Consider the following 14,720-nt stretch of genomic DNA (forward strand, 5'->3'; position numbering starts at 1 on the left):
TAGTTCAGCCAGTGTAGAAGACAGTGTGGCAATTCCTCAAAGACACAGAACCAGAAGTACCATTTGACCCAGCCATCTCATTACTGGGTATGTAACCAAAGGAATATAAATCATTCTACTATCAAGACCATGGAATAATATACAGCCATAAAAAGGAAAGAGATCATGTCCTTTGCAGAGACATGGATGGAGCTGGAAGTCATTACCCTCAGCAAACTCATGTAGGAAGAGAAAACCAAACACTGCATGTTCTCACTTCTAAGTGGGTGCTGAATAATGAGAACTGATGGACACAGGGAGGGGAACAACACACACTGGGGCCTGATGGTCGGGGGAATGTGGGAGGAGGGAGAACTTTAGGAAAAATAACTAATGTGTGCTGGGCTTAATACCTAGGTGATGGGTTGATAGGTGCAGCAAACCACTATGGCACATGTTTACCTATGTAACAAACATGCACATCCTGCACATGTACCCTGGAACTTAAAATAAAAAGGATCAAGAAAAGAAAAAAAAATGATTTAGCTGGATATATCATTTTATATTAACAATTTATAAAATCTTTTCATAATAGTATGCTGTTGTTCTCTGGATTTTATTGTTTTCATTGAAAAATATGGTATTAGTTTATTTAGAGTCAGCCATCTTTCTTGTTCTGCTCTTCCTCATTGTCTTTTGTGTATTGCATTCACTACATTTCTCTAGTCTAGATTTTTACTCAGAAGGTATAAATGTTCCTAAATCTAAGGATTCATGATTTTCATGAATTTCATTAAACACTGTTATCTTAAAAGTATACATCTGATCTTTGACAAACCTCACAAAAACAAGCAATGGGGAAAGGATTCCCTATTTAATAAATGGTGCTGGGGAAACTGGCTAGCCATATGCAGAAAACAGAAACTGGACCCCTTCCTTACACCTTATACAAAAATTAATTCAAGATGGATTAAAGACTTAAATGTAAAATCTGAAACCGTTAAAACCCTAGAAGAAAACCGAGGCAGTACCATTCAGGACATAGGCATGGGCAAAGACTTCATGACCAAAACACCAAAAGCAATTGCAACAAAAGCCAAAATTGACAAATGGGATCTAATTAAACTAAAGAGCTTCTGCACAGCAAAGGAAACTATCATGAGACTGAACAGGCAACCTACAGAATGGGAGAGAATTTTTGCAATCTACCCATCTGACAAAGGTCTAATATCCAGAGTCTACAAGGAATTTAAACAAATTTACAAGAAAAAAAAAACCCCATCAAAAAGTGGGCAAAGGATATGAACAGACACTTCTCAAAAGAAGACATTTATGCAGCCAACAAACATACGGAAAAAAGCTGACCATCACTGGTCATTTGAGAAATGCAAATCAAAAGCACAATGAGATACCATCTCGCACCAGTCAGAATGGCGACTATTAAAAAGTTGGGAAACAACAACAGCTGCTGGAGAGGATGTGGAGAAATAGGAATGCTTTTACACTGTTAGTGGGACTGTAAATTAGTTCAACCATTGTGGAAGACAGTGAGGCGTTTCCTCAAGGATTTAGAACCAGAAATACCATTTGACACAGCAATCTCATTACTGGGTATATACCCAAAGAATTATAAATCATTCTACTATAAAGACACATGTACATGTACGTTTACTGCAACACTATTTACAATAGTAAAGACTTGGAACCAACCCAAATGCCCATTAATGATAGACTGGATAAAGAAAATGTGGCACATATATATGAAGGAATACTATGCAGCCATAAAAAATAATGAGTTCAAGTCCTTTGCAGGGACATGGATGAAGGTGGAAGCCATTATTCTCAGCAAACTGACACAGGAACAGAAAACCAAACACTGCATGTTCTCATTCATAAGTGGGAGTTGAACAATGAGAACACATGGACACAAGGAGAGGAATGTCACACACCGGGGCCTGTCGGTGGGTGGGGGTCAAGGGGAGGGAGAGCATTAGGACAAAGACCTAATGCATGAGGAGCTTAAAACATAGATGACGGGTGGATAGATGCAGCAGTCCACCATGGCATATGTATACCTATGTAACAAACCTGCACATTCTGCACATGTATCCCAGAACTTAAAGTAAAACTTAAAAAAAAAAAACTGTAATTGTTTGACTTTCAAAAAGTTGCGTTAAAGCACATGTAATGAGAAACTGGTTTATGATCACTTGGAAGATTTGTATAGTTTTATAAAACTCAATTAAAATGTCTGTTTCAATGACCTGTATTCTGCCAGACTTAATCACAGACGGATATTAAACTTGTCAGAATTTCTTCAATTCTCATTCAAGCCTGTGAATAAACACTCTGTATGACACTTATTTTGAGCCTATTAAAGAATCCAAATTCAAAAAAATTCCCATTTTTCTCTGACTCATGTTTCCCCATTCTTTCTCATCTATTATGTAATTCAAAGTAGACCTAGGTTATAATTTTCACTCTGATTCTTCCTCTGTAGACACATCACCTTCAGCTCATTGAGGTATTATATTTCTTTAGGTATTTACACTTTGTATTCCTAAAAATTTGATAATCTTGGTTGTATTATCACTATTTATTTAATTGGATGCTGTTTATTGACTTGTTACTGTGGAAATTTAGTTGTCTTTCTGATTCTTCCTGAACTCCTCCCTTGCCCATCCATCTCTTTCTTCTGTTCTCCAAATAAGATTGTATAATAATTTGGCTACACGAATATTAAGTCACCTGCTATGCTAACTTTTTGCTACTAGCTGTCTTTTTGCTTTTTGCTTAATTTTCTATGATCTTCCCTGAAATTCATCCCTCATCTTGCTAGAAGTTATATTTTCTCTCCACACTCGAATACATCAGAAAATCTATTAATTTTATTTTGTTTTTCATAGTACTTTCCTCTGGAGCCTTCTGTTCTTCTGTGATCTGAAATTTTGGCTTTTTAGGCATGATTTCAAGCTGTTGCTTTGCCCTGACAACTTTCTTTGCCATCATTCTGGGGATTCCCTTTGTGTCTCTCCTATTTTGGAAGCCCTTTTTCCTGAATCCAGTATCTTCATTTTTCTAGATGCTTTTCTTTTTTTCAAAAAAATACAGATGTCAGTATCAGAGAACGGGATGCAAAATTTTGATACTTTAAAAAGTTTTTAATAGCTTTATTGATGTATAATTGACATGCAATAAACAACATATTTAAAGCATACAATTTAATAGGTTTTGAGAAATGTGTAGATGTTTGAAACCATCCACATAGTCAAGTGAGTGAGCGTGTCAATCACCCACAAGTATTTTCTTGCCCATGCAGTGTATCTTCTTTCCTCTCCCTTTTCCCCTTGCAACTGCTGATTTCTTCCTGTTACTTAATACTACAGATTAGTTTGGATTTTCTAGAGTTTTATACAAATCTAATTACATAGCGTAGGACAGACTTTAATTTTTGAAAATATTTTTATGCTATCATGCCATTCAATTGATGGTTGACTGGATATAGAATTCTGGATTGGAAATAACTTTATTTCAAAAATGTGAAGTAATTGCTCCTTTTTAAAAAACAATTCCAGGGTTATGAGAAGTTTGGAGCCATCCTGATTCTTGATTCTTGGAATAAAATCTTTTTTTTCTTCCTTTTTTGGTATGTGTAAGATGTAGCATTTGTTTCCACCATTCATTTTGCTAGGTACACAGTTGGTCCATGATATCTGGAAATTATGTCTTTAAGTTTTTGGATATTTTCTTTAATTATTTCCTTGATAATTTCAAATAATGAAATTTCACATATTGTTTTCTTTGCTGTCTCATCCTGGAACTCTTATTGTTTCTAGTACTGTTTTTATTTCTTATTCATCTTATTTCAAGTATTGTTTTCTTTGTTCTCTCATCCTGGAACTCTTATTATTTGGATGCTTAAACTCCTGAATTAATTCTTAAATTTTCTAACTCTTTCTCTTCTGTTTTCTTTTTGTCATACTTTCTGGAAGTTTTCTTTTCCTTTTTTCCCCCAAACTTCCAAATTATTTTTTATTTCTGCTCTCATATTTGTAATATCCAAGCACATTCCTTTCTAGTCCCAGAATCTTCCCTTTCAGCCCTCTGCGGCTTTAGTTGTCTCTACTTGCTCTAAGTCCGTCTGTTACCATCTCTCTCTGTCTCTGATAGAAATTTTCCTCAAATATCTGTTGATCTCTGGATATTAGTTGTATTACACACTCACTCAAAAGCTGATTAGGTCTATGTGTGTCTCCGGCTAGTGGTGGCTTTCCCTCTAGGGTACTCAGGCCGGATTGTTTTTGGGAAAATTTTCTCAATTCTGCAGCTATTCTTTCTGTTTTGTCAGTTCACTGAGAAAAAAAAAAATCGTACAATCTCTTGTTTGAAGGCACACGCTAAGGCCGGCATTCCGAGGCAAATATGGGAAAGAGGAGTCAAGGTCTTATCACCACTAAGGATGCGACTGTCTGCACTACAGTAACCTCACCCCTTCTTCAGAGAGATTGTGTTTGTTTGCCACGGGTTATTATTGGCCTGGAAAAAAAAAAATGTTTCTTAACTAGGGGATTCCCAGGTCATGCAAACAATACAAATTTAACCTTCTAACTGGAGTGTAATATAAGTCTGTGATTACATTACTCAGAGAATTTGTTTTTTCTTGTATACACAGAATTCAGGCCAAAATAAAAAGTCAAGCTTCTTTTTATCTCTCTGTGTGGATAGTTGGATATTTTTTCCTAGTGGATGCTTACACAGAGACTATAGTATTTTAAATCATCTTTTTTTTTTTTTTTAGATTTAGGGCTGTTTAAGTGTACATCCCACTCAGGCCCATTGCTTTATCTTCTGTTTCTGCCTGGGCACTGACACCCTTGCCACTAGATGATCACAACTGACCACCCCCCAGGGCAGCCACACTGTCAGCTCTCAGGCCAATTTCTCTGGCTTATGTTTCTCTCTTCCTTTCTCACTGCTGGAGATTTTTCTTTTCTTTTTCCTAGCACAGCTGAGTATAAATAAGGACATTTGTTATATTTTTATCTAGCATTTCTATGTTTTTATATTCTGAATGATTTTGGATCATCTCGTCTGCAACATTGCTTGTCTCTAATTGTCTTATTTTCATCTTTGCAATCATGGGTTTTACTGGCAAGGGAGCTGAAGCTTGTGGAGGATAAATGACTAACCCAAGAGTGAGCAATAGGTGGCAGGGCTAAGGCCACGTCTCTCCTGGCGCGGTGCTCTCTCCAACATGCTGTGTCCCCAGATCTCTTCTATGTCTGAAACTTTCTGATTTCAACATAGACTAATATCTATAAGCTCATGCTAATATCTATGATCTCATATTCAGAAGTGAGAATCAAGTATATAAAAATTGATAGAAACTAAAAATCTTTAGGCTTTAATATTAGCCTCTTACTACTAGATTGTTTATCAGAACTTTGAGCTATTAACACAGTTATGTCAAAGCTTTCATGTACTTGAAAAAATGGGGCAGCTAAAAAAAAAAAACTGCCAAAAACATCAAACAGCTGACAAATGCAATCAGCTGTGATACATGAATTTGCATTGTCTAACTGGAGGTTGGACACTGAAAAATAAACCGAGTACTCTCACTACCCTATTTTTCATAGGCAATGGAATCTAAAGGCACTTTCAATGCTGTAAAAGCCTGACAAAATGTTTAAGAAACAAACAGGAAGAAGTTTAAAGCAAAGAACATGTGTAAGACCATCTCTATTTGCCTTTTCCTGAGAAAATAATAAATGTACTCCCACATGTAATTTTCACAGCATATATAATGATTTTGCTGAGAACAGATTGCTCAGTACATTCCCAGATGTATACAGAAGATCAAGTTAATGAAAAGATACTTTGAAATACAGTAACTGGATACTATTTTAAAATAATGTATGCAGTTCATATCAATGATTTTCAAAAAAAATTCTAAGGCAGAGAGGCCCCTTTTTCCAAATTAAACATGACAAAGAATGCTTAAATATAAAAGAGATGAAACTTAAAATGTTTTCTTTGAAGAAATGGAGGAGATTTCCCCAACACCCTAGCCAGTCAGTGCCCCACCTACAGAGAACTCAGCTGCCCTCAGACTTACTTAGGAACAAGCCAGATTCTGTAAGGAGGGGATTTGAATCTAAAAATCATGTTTTAAGTTCCTAACATGCTAGAATAAAGACATTGTATCTGTAGGGTCAATTTATCTAGTGGACACATTATATATAGGGCTTAGGACAGAATAAATCAGCATTATAAATAAACTCTCAAAGATACTCCCCATTTTATTATAAATTTGTCTATAAACATATTAAATTACTTTTTAATAACCATAGGCTACAATAAAGACATTCTATCAGCAGGGTCAATATATTTAGTGGGCACAGTATACATAGGGCTTAGGGCCTATGATATTTTCAAAGGCCCAAGAAAGCATATTGATTTTAATTTTAAAATTAGAAAAATTAATATAATAAAAATGAACATATCATAATGAACCCAGATTAGATTATATTTAGCTATATGCTAAAATAGTCACAAAATACAATTTTAATATTTTTTTGGAGGAGGGGTCTACCAAGGTAAAAGTGTCTAAGGCACACAAAGGTTGTAATTCCGCTGGGTCTATCTTAATGTTGGTTACTGGACACAATGCTATGGCTCTGATTCTAGCAATTTCAGAACAGTCCACAGAATTAAGGCAAATTGATTCTGTCTCTGAATTTTAGTATATGGGAAAATTCCCATGTCACTCTTGATGTCATAATATTTAGTAATGTAGACTAAAATAATGATACAAATGCAAATTACAATGTTTTTTAATTGCGTAAAAGGTTCTTTCAAGGATATGATTGAAGAGAGATGCCGAAAATGCTGCCAAAAATGGGATCTTGCTTTGGGTGAGAACTTCATTAGCTATGGCCTACAAGTTCAGATGTTCTTATGGCAGGATGACTTAGAGGAACTGTCTAGTCTTTCCATCTTAAAAAAAGATTTTTTTCAATGTGCATTTTTAGGCATTAAAGATGACTGATGATGTTCTTCCACTAACACTGTAATTTACTTTTGTTACAACAATTTTTACATATGTGATAACAGTCAGTGTTCGTGTGAAGATATTGATGGAGCGTGTATAGCACTTAAGAAAATAAAAACCTGTTAAGGTCAACTGTGAACTAGTCCCCTTTATTCATCGTCTTCCCTTTTGTTGTGAAATTTTGTTTTCTTTCATAACAAAGAATAGTGAAACCCTAAGTAGAAATCTGACCACTGCCATCTACTGTCTCAGACAGAATAAATCAGTGTTATAAATAAACTCTCAAAGATACTTCCCATTTTATTATACATTTGTCTAAAAACATATTAAATTACTTTTTAATAACTATAGGCCATTAGTTTTACTCCTCCATTGGGCATACCAAGATAATCTCTCAGAGGTTAGAGTTTTTGGATGAATGCTGAGGAGGATACTGTACCCAGTGGGTTACAATGGGTAACACTTCTACGCCCCTTCAGGCAACCATCAATGTTCATGCCACATGCAGACGTGCTCACTAAAATTCTCCTGTGGGAAGTTGAAAATGTCTTCTTTAATTACTGTTAAGCATTGTATATACATCATCACTCTAAATATGGAGAACAAGCCTCAATAGAAGGCCCAAGTCATTAATATCATTGCTTCTGTCTAGTTTTAAAGTACTTGGTTAACCAGAGCATCTGAACCATTTGTTCACGAGTCTTCTGAAAACCATAACGTGTCATTTGATACTATCACGTGGTTTGATAAAGTTTTGACCTTGATAACATACGGCTTTATAATAATATATATTTTTTCCATTACATGAGCTTCATCTTGTAGGTGATTCTGAAACTGATTTTGAAGGAGTATTTGAGCAGTAAAAAAGTGCATTTTATTTTATTGCTCCTAAGCAATTCTTCCACTTTTTAGTTACACCCAACCCCCTCAAAAGTTCCCAGTGTCAGTGCTGTTTAAATGTTGCAGCAATAGGGATTATTTCATGCACTTATTATCCAGAATTTTTTAAGGAAGTACATGTTCAAACACACCATTTGCATCTCCATAAATATAAAACAACCATTTTAAATAGCAATAGCTCATCCTTCTTGAGTTGACTGCTGTGTTTACTCTCAATGAATGGATAGAACATTTATCATGGTCTTCATTGTTCAGTTTATTTTCAGGGAACAGTAGGATCAGACAGAAGATGTCTTGTCACAAGAAATTTTCAGATTTTTTTTTTTTTGGCCTATTTTCAGGAGACTTCAAGGTTCTGCTTTATACTTCCTGTTTCTAACCACAGTTATATGTTCCCATTTTAAAATGTAATTTAAAAACAATTTAGAATTCTAGCTTAACAAAGGTAAATAGAAATGACACTAAAACTGAAAAAACCTTGCATTTTTGATGTTCTTGTGTTATGCGTGGACTCTGAGGACTCTAATCTTTTTGAGAGAAGGGACCATTTTAATCTTCTATCTATACCCTGCTTTGTTGTTTAATTAATATTTGGTGGCTAAAATAATACGGGAGAAATTTTATCAGCAAAAAATTTGTTCAAGAGTATTTTTTTTAAAGCTAGTAGTTTGTTGGGTACAAAATATTTTCTAAAAAAATCCAGCAGTGTGACTGCTTGCAGACATTCTGATAAGGCACATCATGAAGTTCTTTTTTTAAAAAAAAATTTATATTTTCAACTTTTATTTTAGATTCAGGAGGAAAGGTGAGGTTCTTGAACTGCAGGTGGCAAAAAGAAGTTGTGCTGGAGCGTGGCATTATCATAAATGACTCAAGCTGCATTCTTGGCTGAAACTGCAAGGCTAGAACCAGATGACCCACCAACAAGTGAAAAGCACCACATTTTTAAATCACTAACTACATTTGATTTTTTTCCCTTACAGTGATATCTTCGACAACAACAAAAATACCATATATATTAGAAGATGTTGAAAATAGTGTTCTACAGATTGAACATGTGAGTCATAAAACCTTTTATTGACATCAAAATAAACACATTTATTTTCCATAATCTTCAGTTAAGATTGGAATTATGTGAGAAGTCTCTGGAATAATGGAATATTCCAGGGGAGATCTCTGTCAGTTTTAGGGAATTTTACCTGGTTATACCACTGCATAATGTCCATTATTATACAAACTTTTTTTTTTTTTGAGATGGGATCTTGCTCTATTACCCAGGTTGGAGTACAGTGGCATGATCTCAGCTCACTGCAACCTCCATCTCCTGGGTTCAAGCTATTCCCCTGCCTCAGCCTCCCGAGTAACTGGAATTACAGGTGTGTGCCACCACACCCAGCTAATTTTTTGTAATTTTAGTAGAGATGGGGTTTCACCATGTTGCCCAAGCTGGTCTTGAACTCCTGAGCTCAAGTGATTCACCCACCTTGGCCTCCCAAAGTGCTGGGATTACAGGTGTGAGCCACAGCGCCTGGCTGCCAAACTTAAATTTAATAAAAAGTATGATTTTTACGGTCCTGCTTTTGAAAAAGCAAATTTGGAAAGATCTGTGTTAGAATGAATGTGTACATGGTCCCTATCACAATCTGCCAGCTATTTCTCATTAGAAACAATATTGGCACTTAGAGATTGAAATATGCTGTTTATTTGACATCAACATATGACCAACTGATCATGATACAGTTATAGCACTCTCTGTGATGTAGACTACCATTCTTTGGGGAAAGTTTACTGCAGTTTTGTGGGCATAGTCCAAACATCCAGTTTCACAAATTTCACTGCCAAGCTGGCAATGAATTAGTGAATTTCATTCAAGAGAACTGCTGGGATCCTAACCTCAGTGAGGCAGAGAGCTAAGTGCCAATAAAGAAAATGAGTAAGAAAGACATAGTAAGTACCTGCCCTCAAGAATGGTCTTATAGGTGAAGTAGATATATAAACAATTAATGAAAAAATACTATTTCATAATAAATCAATAGGATCGTTGCACATACATGATAGAGACTAGCACAAAAGAATGACTCATTCTAAGAAGGAAGAAGAGGAGATGGAGGTAGAATGGGCAAGGAAAAGTTAGAGTATATAACAAGTGGGGTGGTCTTTAGGAAAGATCAAGACCTTACCAGATACATGTGGGATGGAAACTGTATTGATGACAGATAAACAGCAGAGCATGTTAATTATTGTTGAATCACAGCATCAGTAAAGAGCTGGGTGGTGAGACTAGAGCAGGCTAATCACAAATAAGGTAAGTTGAAAGCATAAATATGGCTTGGGGTAGTATCTCCAAAAGGCAAAACCAAATATAGCAGAATCCAAGAAAAGGAGCCAAGGACCACAGTTCTCAAAATTCCCTTTCCTACCTACTGCTAAGTGAGAGACCTCTGGGAGTGATTTGGGAGGTAGAGGAGTCAAAGAAGTCATTATTCTCCAGAGGCATTTGTAGCTAGGTGTGTGGGCCGACCTGAGATTCACAGTGGCTTTCTGGTGAGTCCTTGAGATCCATCCATTTCAGTTCTGCAGACTGAAAGTTCATGGAGCTTCTGAGAACTTCTGGAGAATTACAGCTGCTTTTATTAAGCACTTCTCTGGTGCTTCAAGCTGAGTGATTTTCAGTGGAAGCTTCTCAGATTTTCGTTTCTGCAGATCTTCCAGGGTTGACATAAGCCTCGAATTCTTACATTAAATACTTTATACCTGGAGTACGTACATTGGTCTTTCTTTTTCTGAGTGAACGCTGACTTGGCTCTGGTTTTATTGTCTTGTCTCATTGTACTCCTAGTTATCTTTTATCATTTGACCTTTTATTAGTAAGAGTGCTTCTCAGAAATAATTTGAGGCAAAGTGAGAATTTAGGCTTGCTCATGCCAAGCAAGTAGTACCACTATTAATTTGGAATCTTGTTAATTCTATTCTAGGTATTGAAATAATTTGAAATTTGAAATGATCTGCAGGTGACGTGAAGCACCACTACTTCCTGCTAACACTTAATCCTTGGGCTCAGGCTGGAAGAAACATTGAAAGCAGGGTGTATTTTCCAGGACTCTGAGAGGGCAGGTCCTGGACTCCTACTTCCAAAATTGGTAAATACCTCTAGGGAAAAGTAGCCCCAAATGCCAAGGTCTTCTTTTGAGATGTTTGAGATGTTTATCTTTTTTTTTTTTTTTGAGATGGAGTCTCACTCTGTTGCCCAGGCTGGAGTGCAATGGCACAATCTTGGCTCACTACAACCTCTGCCTCCCCAGTTCAAGCACTTCTCCTACCTAAGCCTCTCAAGTAGATGGAATTACAGGCACCTGCCACCATACCTGGCTAATTTTTGTATTTTTAGTAGAGACAGGGTTTCACCATGTTAGCCAGGGTGATCTTGAACTTCTGAGCTCAAGCATCTGCCCACCTCGGCCTCCCAAAGTGCTGACATTACAGGTGTGAGCCACCGCTCCCGGCCTGAGATGTTTATCTTCTTATGGATCATTGCCCACTATTTTCTCACCATCTTCTTAATTCTCCAAAGCCTACAAAGAGATTATTTTTATAATTTTTCAGCTTTTAAGATGTCTTTGGAAGGAATCATGATCCAAATTACTTAGTCTGTAATTACAAGCCACCATCAGTGACTTCTTCCAAAGTTTCTTTCTTTAATATCATTTATTAAACACAAATTGCTCATCAGACATAATAAAAAATTTCAGTTAGGTTAAAAAGATTAAAATTAAAAATATGATATAAAATTAGGGAAAATCAGAAAGATAATTTTAGTTTGATAAGGGTTTTTCTAAGTCAGACATAAAAACTAGAAACCAGGAAGAAGGGGCCATGGGGGGAGAGAGAGATTTTTTTATATAATAAATATTTCTGTTTATTAAAAAATAACATGACATCAAAAGACAAATTATAGACCTAGAGTAGGATCTATCTATCTATCTATCTATCTGTCTGTCTATCTATCTATCTATCTATCTATCTATCTATGGAAAAATTCTTATATATGTGGAAAATTTTATTTACACGCATCTATTAATCCCTCAATTGCACTTTCATTTTTCATATTTTCTTACTTTGTACATTGTTTTCATTTCTTTCTCTTTTGTTTCTGTTTTTTTCTTTCTTGCTTGCCTTCTTGCTTTCTTTTCTTTTCTCTCTTTCTCTCTCTATATATTTTTTGGTCTCAGTTTATTCTTTCTATAGCCTTACATTCATGCTTTATGGATTCAAAGACTTCTTGCCACCCACTGAGGATATGGAATCATTTTCTAAAAGATTATTCACTAATTCAATGTATATTTATTGAATGCTGACCATCTGTCATACAAAGATTTTAGGAGCCGGGAATACAATACTTATCGAGAAACACAAATGTTTTTATTTTGGTAGTAAATCACTGTAAGTGTTCCTTTTATTTTTTTCTGAATCTTCAAGTATTTCCTTTTTAGCTTCCTGTAGTGCCTAGCAATGGTGAATTTGTTTTTATTTCTGTTTATTAATCTTTGACCATGAGGATAGCTAGGCTGACCTAGCAAATGGTAATGGAAAGAACATGAAATTCATTGATTTCACCTCTTCTGAGTTCATTTGCTTGCTGCTTCAGCCCTTTCCCTTGCATTTGACTGGATAGTTGATGAAGGATGTAGCTCCTTGCCCAGTTCCCTGCTTTAGCAGTTGGATGCAGAGGGTATCTTCTCTTAGATCTAATACCTAGACTTATAAATGGATGAGATGAATGAAAACAACACTATCACTATTTATTGTTACAAAGGCTCTTGTGTCTTATCTCTTTTGATGGCTACAGCCATTTCTCTGTAAATCTGCCTTTTATTTTCAGGAAAATGTAATTACTAGCAAGATGTGCAAAGGCTGAGATGGACTAAGTTGAGTGAATCAGCACTCTGTCTACTTCAAAAGCAGAATACTCACAGTACGGGAATAGCTGCCAAAATTTTGCTTTAGTAGAGATTTATAATTTGAACAAGGGATCTGGTAAAGGCAGAGTATAATAGTTATCCGACTTACTTTCAGAAAGAGCACAATGCAAGTGTTTTACTAATTGCATTTTTAAAAGTATGATATTACTCTGATAGTTTTTTGTGTCTTTGTAGATACTTTCCTTGTAAGTAGTGATGGAGTGGGTCACATAAATGGCTAACCAGGTGCCATTTTTTCCCTTAGCGTTAATTTTTAGTTTAATTCCTTATGCTATATTTTCTTATATGTGTTTTCATTGGTATTTGTAAGTAAATGTATTCGTATTTAAGTATGCATATATTAAATTTGCAAAACTCTGAATGGTATGTAATCAAGCAGGTCATGGCATAATTTTATTCCTAGACAATTACATATTTACATAAAATCCTCATAGCAATCTAGTTTGAAAGGCGAAAGGTACTATTTTTTTTCTAAAGATAAAAGAGAACAGGAAGTATGTTCTAAAGATTATCTCAACAGTCTTTTAAAACTTCTATTTTCTGTTCTTTTCAAACATTTATTTATTCTGTATTTTAGGAGTAATCAAAGATTATTGTTCAGATAAAGAAAAGATGAAAATATAACTCACCTATTTTGTACTGTGTAATATGTTTGATTTGTTTACTCCAGGGTTGTTTATACAAAGAGGACTAAGAGTGCAGGCTCAGGGGTCTGATATCCTAGTTTCAAATGTGTCACACTAACCATGTGATCTTGAGCATGTATTTTAACCTCTCAGTGCCATAATTACTTTATCTATAAAATTGGGATAATATTATTCACCCCATAGAAACAGTTAATTGAGGTAAGATGTGTGAAGATCTTTTTCCCTCTAAACTATGTATTTTTTATTTTAATTTTTTATTTGTAGCTTTTATTTTAGGTTTTGGGGTACATGTGAAGGTTTGTTACATAGGTAAACACATGTCATGGCGGGGAGTAAAAGGGATCCCTCAGCACGGCACAGCTTGGTGTGAAGCTCTTTAAAAGTTCCTGGCACACAAGAAGCACTTAATAAATACCAGCTTTTGTTATTCATAATTTCCTTGTTAAAAATAAGTTATTTAACATTTTGTTTTATAAGACTCTTTTTTACTTAATAAAATAGTATAGCTGCCTTATATGGTAAAATACTATTTTACAACATAATTTTAATGGCTGCATAATACATATTGTTTTGATGTGTCATATTTTATTTAATAAACTTTTATAGTTTATTTGTTTTTAACTACCATTGAAAACTATATTTTCCTATTACTGCTTTCACAAATTACCACAAACATAGTGGCTTACAACAACAGACATTTATCACCTCAAAATTCTGGAAGTCGGAAGTCTAAAACAAAGGGGTGGGCAGGGTTGTCTTCTCTCTGGAGACTGGAATCCAGCTCCCTGCCTTTTCCAGCTTCTTGACGTTTCCTGCATCCCTTGGCTCATGCCCCTTCCTCTTCAAACTGCATCACTCCAAGCTCTGGGTCTTTTTGTCACACGTCCTTTTTCTGACTTTGACGCTCTGGTCTCCCTCTTCTGTTGACTCTTGTCATTACATTGTCCCTGCCCCTCCACTGCCCTCCTTCCTCCCCTTAATCCAGGACAATCTTCTCATCTCAAGATTCTTAATCACATCTGCAAATCTCTTTTGCTGTGGAAGGCAACATAGTCAAAGGTTCCAGGGAGTAGGAAGTGGCTATCTTTGAAGGGCTGTAATTCAGCCAACCACATACATCAAACTGAAATAAACATCTTTAGAGCAACTAATTTTCATGTACTC

The 14,720-nt window shown here is 35.6% G+C and overlaps 1 protein-coding gene and 1 long non-coding RNA gene across 7 annotated transcripts in view, besides 2 other annotated features; one reads left to right on the forward strand and one right to left on the reverse strand.

Moving 5' to 3' along the window:
• Positions 1-14,720, reverse strand: part of MARCHF1 (membrane associated ring-CH-type finger 1) — an 859,722-nt gene that overhangs the window by 134,165 nt on the left and 710,837 nt on the right. The gene's annotated exons all lie outside the window — the stretch shown is intronic.
• Positions 5,097-5,146: a silencer, noted in NCBI's record as "silent region_15781". NCBI's record gives its function as "represses an Ori minimal core promoter by ATAC-STARR-seq in GM12878 lymphoblastoid cells {active_cell/tissue: GM12878}" and the evidence as "EXISTENCE:reporter gene assay evidence [ECO:0000049][PMID:35858748]".
• Positions 5,757-5,836: an enhancer, noted in NCBI's record as "active region_22103". NCBI's record gives its function as "activates an Ori minimal core promoter by ATAC-STARR-seq in GM12878 lymphoblastoid cells {active_cell/tissue: GM12878}" and the evidence as "EXISTENCE:reporter gene assay evidence [ECO:0000049][PMID:35858748]".
• LOC107986325 (uncharacterized) overlaps positions 8,913-14,720 on the forward strand; it is a 30,340-nt gene continuing 24,532 nt past the window's right edge. Inside the window, exon 1 of the long non-coding RNA XR_001741915.3 lies at positions 8,913-8,987. This is a non-coding gene — a long non-coding RNA (uncharacterized LOC107986325). The remainder of the gene's footprint in view (positions 8,988-14,720) is intronic.

This window comes from Homo sapiens, chromosome 4 (assembly GCF_000001405.40).
Source record: "Homo sapiens chromosome 4, GRCh38.p14 Primary Assembly".
Taxonomy (NCBI): domain Eukaryota; kingdom Metazoa; phylum Chordata; class Mammalia; order Primates; family Hominidae; genus Homo; species Homo sapiens.